The sequence below is a fragment of the Homo sapiens genome, chromosome 17 (assembly GCF_000001405.40).
Source record: "Homo sapiens chromosome 17, GRCh38.p14 Primary Assembly".
Classification (NCBI taxonomy): Eukaryota; Metazoa; Chordata; class Mammalia; order Primates; family Hominidae; genus Homo; species Homo sapiens.
Window position 1 is genome coordinate 6,742,745 of NC_000017.11, and position 11,301 is coordinate 6,754,045.

Sequence of the window (11,301 nt, forward strand, 5' to 3'; positions counted from 1 at the left end):
ATGGGATTACATCAAGTTAAAAAGCTCGTCCACAGCAAAGGAAACAATGAACAAAGTGAAAAGACAACCCACAAAAAGAATGGGAGAAAATATTTGAAAACTACCCATCTGACAAGGGATTAATTACCAGAATATTTAAGAAGCTCAACTAACTCTATAAGAAAAAATCTAGTAATCCAATTTCAACGTAGGCAAAAGATTTGAGTAGAAATTTCTCAAAAAGAAGACATACGAATTGCAAACAGGCATATGAAAAAGTGCTCAACATCATTGATCATCAGAGAAATGCAAATCAAAACTACAATGAGATATTATCTCACCTCAGTTAAAATAGCTTTTATCCAAAACACAGGCAATAACAAATGCTGGCAAGGATGTGGAGAAAAGGGGACCTTCGTACTATTGATGGGAATGTAAATTAGTACAACTACTCTTGTACTAATAGTGGAGAACAGTTTGGAGGCTCCTCAGAAAACTAAAAATAGAGTTACCATATGATCCAGCAATCCCACTGCTAGGTATATACCCAAAAGAAAGGCAGTCAGGGAGAAGGCTGGTCAAGATGGCTGACTAGAAGCAGCTAGTATGCGCCACTCTCATGGAGAGAAATAGAAACGGCGAGTAAATACAGCACCTTCAACTGAGTCATCCAGGTATAAGCACTGGGATTTATCAGGAAAACAACTTAACCCACAGAGAATGGAGAAAAGCAAAGTAGGACATTAGCCTGCCCAGGAGTGACACAGAGCTAGGGGAGCCTCCGTGAGTGAGTGAACAACCCCAGAGACCCATGTGTCCCCGATATATTTTTGCAACCCTCAGGTCAGGAGATCCTGTTATGAACCCACTCCAGCATGGTCTGCATTCTGACACGCAGAGCTACGTGGAATTTTGGCATAGAAGCCACTCAGGCATACATGGATCCCCAGGAGCTTTAGATAACTGGACTTCCTGGCAAACGCAGCTGTAACTCTAGCAAAGTGGGAAGTTCTACCCCTAGAAAAGGAGCTGAATCCAGGGGGCTGAGCAGTGACCATCTGTAGGCCCTGCTTCCATGGCACCTTGCAGGATAATGCCCACTGGCTTGGAACTCCATCCAGCCACTGGTAGCAGCGTTATACCTCCCTGGAACAGAGCTCCCAGGAGGAGGGACAGGCCACCATCTTTGCTTTTTTCACAGCCTTAGGCATTATTGCCTTCAGGATCTAGAGAGTCTGAGGTTACTAGGGACTGGAGGCAATCCCATTCACAACTGCCACAAAGAGAATAAAATACCTAGGAATACAGCTAACCAGGGAGGTAAAACACCTCTACAATGAGAATTACAACACACTGCTGAAAGAAACCAGAGATGACACAAATGGAAAGACATTCCATGCTCATGGATAGGAAGAATGAATATCATTAAAATGGCCATACTGCCAAAGCAATGTACAGATTCAATGCTATTTTTATCAAACTACCAATGATATTCTTCACAGAACTAGAAAAAACTATCTTAAAATTCATATGGAACCACAAAAGAGTCCAAATAGCCAAAACAATTCTAAGCAAAAAGAACAAAGCATGAGGCATCCCATTACCTTACCTCAAACTATACTACAGGGCTACATTAACCAAAATAGCATAGTACTGGTGCAAAAGCAGACACATAGAACACAGTAGAGAGCTTATAAATAAATCTGCACACCTACAACCACCTGATCTTTGACAAAACTGACAAAAATAAGCAATGGGGAAAGGACTTCCTACTCAATAAATGGTGCTGGGATAACCAGCTAGCCATATGCAGAATATTGAAACTCAACCCCTTCCTTACACCGTATGCAAAAATCAACTCAAGATGGATTAAAGACTTAAAGGTAAAACCCAAAACTGAAAATCCTGAAAGACAACCTAGGCAATACCATTCTGGACATAGGAAATGGCAAAGATTTCATGATGAAGATGCCAAAAACAATCATAACAAAAGCAAAAATTGACAAATGGGATCTAATTAAATTAAAGAATGTCTATTACTCAACAGAGTAAACAACCTACATAATAGGAGAAAATATTTGCAAACTGCATCTGACAAAGGTCTAATATCCAGCATCTATAAGGAATTTAAACAAATTTACAAGAAAAAACAACCCCATTAAAAAGTGGGCAAAGGATATGAACAGACATTTTTCTTTTTTTTTTTCTTTTTCTTTCTTTCTTTTTTTTTTTTTTTTTTTGAGGTGGAGTCTTTCTCTGTCGCCCAGGCTGGAGTGCAGTGGTGCGATCTTGGATCACTGCAACCTCTGCCTCTTGCGTTCAAGCGATTCTCCTGCCTCAGCCTCCCATGTAGCTGGGATTACAGGCATGCGCCACCACACCCAGCTAATTTTTGTATTTTTAGTAGAGACAGGGTTTCACCATGTTGGTCAGGGTGGTCTCGAACTCCTGACCTCAGGTGATCTGCCCGCCTTGGCCTCCCAAAGTGCTGGGATGACAGGCGTGAGCCACCATTCCTGGCCAAACAGATACTTTTCAAAAGAAGACATACGTGTGTCCAACAAGCCTACAACAAAAAGCTAAATATCATTGATCATTAGAGAAATGCAAATGAAAACCACAATGAGATATCGCCTCACACCAGTCAGAATGGCTATCGCTAAAAAGTCAAAAAATAACAGATGCTGGTGAGGTTGCAAAAAAAAAGGGACTGCTTATACACTGTTGGTAGAAATGTAAATTTGTTCAACTACCGTGGAAAGCACTGTGGCTATTCCTCAAAGAGCTCAAAACAGAACTCGCTTTTGACCCAGCAATCTCATTACTGAGTATATACCCAAAGGAATATAAGTTGTTCTACCATAAACATACATGCAGACTTATGTTCATTGTAGCACTATTCACAATAGCAAAGACATAGAATCAACCTAAATACCCGTCAGTGGCAGATTGGATAAAGCAAACGTGGTACAGAAACAACACAGAATACTATGCAACCATTAAAAAGAATCAGATCATGTCCTTTGCAGGAAAATGCACAGAGCTGGAAGCCATTATCCTTAGCAGACTAACACAAAAATGGAGAACCAAATACCTCATGTTCTCACTTATAAGTGGGAGCTAAATGATAAGAACACATGGACACAAAGAGGGAAACAACAGACATGGGAGCCTACTTGAGGCTGAAAGTTGGGAGGAGGGAGAAGATCAGAAAAAATAACCATTGGGTACTAGGCTTAGTACCTGGGTGATGAAATAATCTGCACCACAAACCCCTGTGACACAATTTACCTATAAAACAAACCTGCACATGTACCCCTGAACCTAGATACATTTTTTTTAAAAAAGAAAGGAAATCAGTATATCAAAGACATATCCACACTCCTATGTTTATTGTAGCACTATTCACAATAGCCAAGATTTGAAAGCAACCTAAGTGACCATCAACAGATGAATAGGTAAAGAAAATTTGATAGATATACACAATGGGGTACTATTCAGCCATGAAAAAGAGTTATATCCTGTCATTTGCAACAACATGGATGGAACTGATAGTCACTATGTTATGTGCAATATACCAAGCACAGAAAGACAAGGTTCACATGTTCTCACTTATTTGTGGGAGCTTAAAATGAAAACAATTAAACTTATAGAGACAGAGAGTAGAAGGATGGTTACCAGAGGCTGGGAAGGGTAGTAGTGGGTGGGGAGAAGTTGGAGATGGTTAATGGCTACAAAAATTAGTTAGAAAGAATGAATAAGATCTAGTATTTGACAGTACAAAGGGTAACTACAGTCCATCATAATTTAGTTGTACATTTAAAAATAACTAAGAGCAGCCGGGCGCGGTGGCTCACGCCTGTAATCCCAGCACTTTGGGAGGCCGAGGTGGGCGGATCACGAGGTCAGCAGATCGAGACCATCCTGGCTAACACGGTGAAGCCCTGTCTCTACCAAAAATACAGAAATAAATTAGCCAGGCGTGGTGGCGGGCGCCTGTAGTCCCAGCACTTGGGAGGCTGAGGCAGGAGAATGGTGTGAATCCGGGAGGCAGAGCTTGCAGTAAGCCAAGATCGCACCACTGCACTCCAGCCCAGGTGACAGAGTGAGACTCCATCTGAAAATAAATAAATAAATAAATAAATAAATAAATAAATAAATAAGAGTATAATTGGGTTGTTTGTAAAAGAAAGTATAAACACTTGAGGTGATGGATACCCAATCCCAATGTGAATATTATGCCTTGCATGTCTATATCGAAATATCTCATGTATTTCATAAATATATACACCTACTATATACCCACAAAAATTAAAAATTAAAAAAATTTCTCATCTCCAAGTTACTCCCCAACTCATTGCAATCATACCGATATTCCCATAAATAATAACTATAAATTCTGGACAAGGTACCACAATAAACAACCTGAATGCACTGGAGGATAAAAAAATACAGATTCTGGAGGGAGTCAACACTTAAGGGAACTGCACTACCCAACGCTTGTGAAAATCCCAACATTAGTTGACACGTGGAAGCAGGAAACTGTATTGAGTGAGTTTCTATTTTCACAGCTTCTAGTATAAGGGCAGAGCACCTAGGCTATCTAAAGCTCTAATAGGGAAGTCACTGTCTTTCTGTCCTAAAGAACCTGAGGACAACCGCAGCAGCTGGAAAGTAATGGTGAAATCTCAGAAAGGAGAGTGCAGAGAGGGGAAGCCTTAAATTCTGCGAATAAACTCTGCCCAAATCCCTGGATGACCCCTGAATTACATACACAGGAGAGAAGTTCTAAGTAACCTAGTTAAAAATCTAAACTGAGTTTGAGGAGATGAATATCTCAATTATACTGATTTAATTATTACACATTGTATACAGGTATAAAGATATTACATGTACTCCCAAAATATGTGTAACTATTATATGTTCTTTTTTTTTAAAGAACACAGAAATTTTAGTCAAGTAAAATAAAGAAATTTTTTTTTTTTTTTTTTGAGACAGAGTCTCGCCCTGTCTCCCAGGCTGGAGTGCAGTGGCCCGATCTTGGCTCACTACAACCTCTGCCTCCTGGGTTCAAGCGATTCTCCTGCCTCAGCCTCCCAAGTAGCTGGGACTACAGGCATCTGCCACCTTGCCCGGCTAATTTTTGTATTTTTAGTACAGACGGGGTTTCACCATATTGGCCAGGCTGGTCTTGAACTCCTGACCTTGTGATTTGCCTGCCTCGGCCTCCAAAAGTGCTGGGATTACTGGCGTGAGCCACTGCACCCGGCCAATAAATTGTATCTTGATCTTGGAAAGAAACAAAAAGAGCCCAAATTGAGACTTGAGAATCAAAGATTGCCTTTGCATCCCGCCAGTTAACTGCCTGCAACAAACAAACAAACAAAAATCAATGGTTTTCAGAGGGAGCTAAAAGAAGCCAGCATCTATACAACATAATATTCACAATGTCTAGAATTCAATCCCAAATTACTTGAAAAGCAAAGAAACAGATAAATGTGATCCCTTCTCAAGAGAACATACAATCAAAAGCCCAATCCAAGATGACCCATATGTTGTAATTATTAGACAAGGATTTTAAAACACCTGTTGTAACCATGCATAATCATGTAAAGAAAAATATATATCTGTAATAAATAAACAAATGGAAAATCTCAGCAGATAAATAAAAACTATACAAATAAACCATGCGGAAGTTCTAAAATTGATTAAAATATCTAAAATTAAAAATTAACAGCAGTTAGAAGATGACAGAGGAGTCAGTGAATTTGAAACTAGATCAACAGAAATTATCTAATCTGAAGAAAAAAAATAAAATAGAAGAGATCCTCAACATCAAAATGTCTAAGACACTTTTAATGAGTCCCAGAGAAAGAGACAAAGAATGGGGCAGAAAAAAATCTTGCAGAACAATGGCTGAAATTTTCCCCAATTTGGTGAAAGACATTAATTTACAGGCACAAGAAATTCAGCAAACCCCAGTCAGGATAAAGATGAAGAAATCTATGTGTAGACAAATCATTATGAAACTGCTGAAAACCAAAGATAAAAAGAAAACCTGATGCCTGTCAGAGAAAAATGACAGATTACATACAGGGGAATGACAACTCAAATGACCATGTACTTCTCACCAGATACTATGGAGGCCAAATAACATTTGTAATGTACTGAAAGAAAAAATAAACTGTCAACCCAGAATTCTACTTCCAATGAAAATAGCCTTCAAGAATTGGGGCAAAATAAAGGAATTTTCAGATAAAAGAAATCTAAAAGAATTCATTGCCAGCTGGGTGCAGTGGCTCACTCCTGTAATCCCAGCACTTTGGGAGGCTGAGATGGGCAGATCACCTGAGATCAGGAGTTTGAGACCAGCCTGGTCAACCTGGTGAAACCCTGTCTCTACTAAAAATACAAATATTAGCCAGGCCCGGTGGTGGATGCCTGTAATCTCAGCTACTCAGGAGGCGAGGCAGGAGAATCACTTGAACCCAGGAGGTGCCGGTTGTAGTGATCCAAGATCATGCCATTGTACTCCAGCCTCTGTGGCAGAGTAAGACTCCATCTCAAAAACAAACAAACAAATAAACAAAACAAAACAAAAAACACCACCACCAACAAAAAGAATTCATTGCCAAAAGACCTACACTACAAAATAAAAAGTGCTTTAGGCTGAAGGGAAATTAAAATGTATGGAAAGACCTTCAGTAAAAACTCTGGACACTAAAGCTCAGGTGAGCTACCTGGCAGGTGATCATACATCAATGTGCTAGGAAGGTGATGCATCCCCAAGCATAAATTAAAATGGAATTCAAAAAAATATTCAAAGAATCCAAAAGAAGGCAAGAAAAGAGGAACACGGGAACAAAACACAAGAGGCATACAGGAAAAATGACAATAATGTTGCAGACCTAAATTCAACCATATCGACAATTATATTAAATGTTAATATACTAAGCACTCCAATTAAAATACAGAATTGGACCCTGTTCACAAGATGGCGCCAAAAGCGAAGAAGGAAGCTCCTGCCCCTCCTAAAGCAGAAGCCAAAGCAAAGGCTTTAAAGGCAGTGTTGAAAGGTGTCCACAGCCACATAAAAAAGAAGATCCACAAGAAAAGAAGATCCACCCACCTTCTGGCCGCCCAAGACACTGTGACTCCTGAGGCAGCCCAGATATCTTCAGAAGAGCGCCCCTGGGAGAAACAAGCTTGATCACTATGCTATCATCAAGTTTCTGCTGACCCCTGAGTCTGCCATGAAGAAGACAGAAGGCAGCAACACACTCATGTTCATTGTGGATGTTAAAGCCAAAAAGCACCAGATCAAATAGGCCGTGAAGAAGCTCTGTGACATTGATGTGGCCGCAGTCAACACCCTGATCAGCCTGATGGAGAGAAGAAGGCATATGTTCAACTGGCTCCTGATTACGATGCTTTGGACGTTACCAACGAAATTGGGATCATCTAAACTGAGTCCAGCTGGCTAATTCTAAATATATGTATATCTTTTCACCATAAAAAAAATATGGAATTGGAAGTAGCTCCCCAACTTACTGCTTGCTGAAGAAAAGGCATAGATCATCCATTCCCATTGCTTCCATACTCATATGAAATATTTGGTATATATCTACCCAAAAGTAATATGCTGTTCCACTCCCCTGTACTCTGCCTTCTGCCTCAAATGTCCTTCCTATCTCATACCACCCTCACCTCCAGCATTCAACACACACACACACACACACACACACACACACATTTAGACTCCCTCATGTCTTACCTTTCCATGAAGGTGATATGATCTGACCACTCCACTTACTCCAATTAAAATAGATCATATCTATGCATGGGTGAGATTATATCTTGCTATTCAAGCTCACTAGGAGCTGAGACTTCATTTTGTTTGTTATTGTAGCCCCTGGGCCAGGTGTATATAGGCTATTTAGCTATCAAAAACATTAATCAGCAATCAAAATTAAGTAGTGAATATAGTAGGCTGTTCTCCACGAATACAATTTGTAATAACAAACTTGAATAGGGGAGTAATTCAACCCAGACTATGCCCTCTGCTTTATAAAATAATATCCTGCCAACTTGGCGTGACATTGAATTTTTTTTTCCTGACAAATACTGACATATTTGCTCAAACAAATTAATATCCTTCCTTTGATTCGTTTTGTTTTGGAGGAAATAAGTTCACATGTCAATGTAAAAGCTGATCCTTACAACCTCTCTTCCAAATGAATTTTTGTATCTTCATGATAACAAGATAATTAAGGAACAGTAAACTTTTCTTTAACTTTGTCTTTTTCTTTTTAGACATAACCCTGGCCTTCTGCATGGAGCCGTCGCTACTGAGATAGAAAAACAATGATGAGCTGCTAAGTATTTAACAGCCAGATCTTGGGGATGGGGAGATACTCGATTTGTAGCATTTGCCCATTTCCACGGTTTAAATACTCTCACTATGGCCAATTTTAAGGTATCAGCATGACCTTATAAATGGAACATTAAGAAGAGATGGACAGGTCGGGCCCAGTGGCTCATGCCTGTAATCCTAGCACTTTGGGGGGCTGAGGCAGAAGGATCACGAGGTCAGGAGTTCAAGACCAGCCTGGCCAAGATGGTGAAACCCCATTTCTACTAAAAATACAAAAATTAGCCTGATGTGGTGGTGGACGCCTGTAATCCTAGCTACTCAAGAGGCTGAGGCAGAGAATTGCTTGAACCCGGGAGGTGGAGGTTGCAGTGAGCCGAAATGGCACCATTGCACTCCAGCCCGGGCGACAGAGCGAGACTCCTTCTCAAAAAAAAAAAAAAAAAAAAAAAAAAAAAAAGAAGAAGAAGAAGAAGAAGAAGAAGAAGAGATGGACACAATATCTTGGAGCCAGTGTGAATCATTGTAAGAAAGACCACGTGATGTCAAGGACAGGGTAGGAAGAAACATAAGTTTCCATTTTTAAAAATTAAAACACTAGTTATTCCCTAAAATGAGAGTCTGAGTGGCTGTTCATTACCACAACTTAACCATATGAGTATGTTCACCCCAAATTCTGAGTGAAAAGACCCTGAAGCTCTAAACTTTTTCTCTTTCACCTCCCCCGCTCCACCATAAAAAGAAACAACAAAAAAATTGACATATATGGTCATTTGTCCTGAGTTCCATGAGATTTGCAGCAACCAAGGGGACCATACCATGATCAAGCTATTAAAAAATTGGTTGGATGCAGCGGCACATTTCTGTAATCTCAGCACCTTGGAAGACCGAGGTTGGAGGACCACTTGAGGCCAGTTCAAGACCAGCCTGGGTAACATAGTGGGACCCCATTTCTACAATTTTTTTTAAAGTTAGCTAGGTATGGTAGTGTGTGCCTGTAGTCTGTGTGAAGGCAGGAGGATTGCTTGAACCTGGGAGTTCGAGGCTGCAGTGAGCTATGATCACCACTGCACTCCAGCCTGAGTGACAGAGACAGACTTCATCTCTTTACCCAATATGTGTAATCTGGGAAGAGGAGAAGGCTCATAACACTCACCCTTGTAAACATCAGGGAAGAGACCTTGACATTTGGACTGTGATTGCTGATTGGACGGGAATGGGTTGGCAGGGGAAGTGGGTGAGATGTTTTAACCAGGAAAAAGAAAAAAACAAAAACAAAACTATGAATGTGTGAAAAGAGACTTCTCAAAGAAAGAAAGGAAGAGAAAAGTACTGGTCACTCCCCACACAGACAGAATGCCATGGAGTTGCTCTTTCTTGCCATGAGTTTAATGACAAGCTTCCTTCCCCTTCATATGCCAACTAAGCAGCAGCCAGCAGGTCATTCCCCGTCTTTGCTGCCCAGCCAGGCCTAGAGTCTTCCCCAAACACAGTCACAGATATTCCCAGGCTTGAATGCCATCCAGAGACTAGTCATCTGATGCAATTTCCTGTGGTCTGACAAACGAACTCCCATCCAAACACGTTGTGCTTGGGGAGTCTGACTATATGATCACATCTCCCAGGACTCAGGCCCACTCTGACCACAGGATTCTTCTAAAGACACCACCGACAGAAGTGTGTGCAATTGCACCATATAATTTTTGTCTGGGAAGTGAAATATCTCTGTCGTTACATCATCTTCCTTAGCATAGTGATCCCTTAAAAGAAGAAAGCCTAAATAAGATCCCTTCTCAAAGCCAAACTATTAAAACAATCCTTTTTAAATATTCTTTCCTGTCTTCCATGCTGTACAAGTACAGCTTTCACACAATTTCTCTTCTGATCTTCAAAACAATGCACGGAGGGGTGTATTATTCCTGTGTCCTAGTCCAGCCAGGACTTCCTGCTCCCCTTTCCCCCCGATTCCTGCAAAGGTGACATGGCCAGCCCGGCCAATTCACGTCTGAGAGACTGGCTTCCTGTGACAACCTTCACCCCCCTCCCCTGACCCACAGGCCTGACACAAAGAGACTGCCGGAAACTCCCCACAACGGCCAAGTGGGTAGCCACAGTGTCCTGGAAAGGAATTCTAAGCCCACAACAGAGCATTTCTCATCTAGCTGTTTTTTGTTTTTTTTTTTTTAAATGGGATTGGGGTTGGCGACCAGCCAAAGACGGGTGGCAGAATGATGAAATCATACAAGCCCACAGCACCGATTGATGTCGTAGTGGAAATGGGGACAGGCTTTTGTGCTAACCAGAGTGTTCCTACATACACTCTCTGATTAATAATAGTGATGGCCCAGGAACAGCCGTGACAGTCAAAGAGAAACATTGCTGTATTTGTAACATTCCATTTTTTTAAAGAGTGTATATTCATATATTCTTTATGAAATCTAAGTTATCTTGAGAAATGAAAAGAAAATGGCCATTGCTGCCACTTTGAGAGCCCTCCGACTCAGGGGTGTTGTGTGGGTTGGGGGAGATTTCCAACTCCCTGCTTAATTATCTCAAAACACCCCATCCATTCGGGTCAGCCAGCATTTGACTGCCTGCTACTGCGAAGCTCAATACTGCACTCTGCCTAATAAGCACAAAGCCCGCGGGTCTCTCCAGGAAGGCAGGGGTGGTGGGTCAGAAAGAGCTGGCTCTCAAATCGCCCATGCCTGTGATTGGATGGGGAGGAGTTGAGACAATAGACACACAGCCAACTAACCAAAGCCAGAGACAAAGGAGGTAGATTCTAGATCAGTGTTGGCATAGGAGTTGGTCCTGAAGAACTGCTGGGATTTTGATGAGGAAGGGAAGGGTTGGCGTGGGTGGGACAGTCTATAGGAGGAAACATCTTGGAAGAAAATTAGGATGTAGATGAGAAGCAACTTATGGTCACTTCTAATTCCACTCCTATC

General features: G+C 41.1%; 1 pseudogene, besides 3 other annotated features; it reads left to right on the plus strand.

The window, feature by feature from the left end:
* RPL23AP73 (ribosomal protein L23a pseudogene 73) lies at positions 6,974–7,187 on the plus strand (annotated as a pseudogene).
* Positions 9,366–9,660: an enhancer, noted in NCBI's record as "tiled region #2431; HepG2 Activating DNase matched - State 5:Enh". NCBI's record gives its function as "activates a minimal TATA promoter and a strong SV40 promoter by Sharpr-MPRA in HepG2 cells {active_cell/tissue: HepG2}" and the evidence as "EXISTENCE:reporter gene assay evidence [ECO:0000049][PMID:27701403]".
* Positions 9,366–9,980: a biological region, named in NCBI's record as "Sharpr-MPRA regulatory regions 2431 and 6579".
* Positions 9,686–9,980: an enhancer, noted in NCBI's record as "tiled region #6579; HepG2 Activating non-DNase unmatched - State 5:Enh, and K562 Activating non-DNase unmatched - State 7:EnhWF". NCBI's record gives its function as "activates a minimal TATA promoter and a strong SV40 promoter by Sharpr-MPRA in HepG2 and K562 cells {active_cell/tissue: HepG2 | K562}" and the evidence as "EXISTENCE:reporter gene assay evidence [ECO:0000049][PMID:27701403]".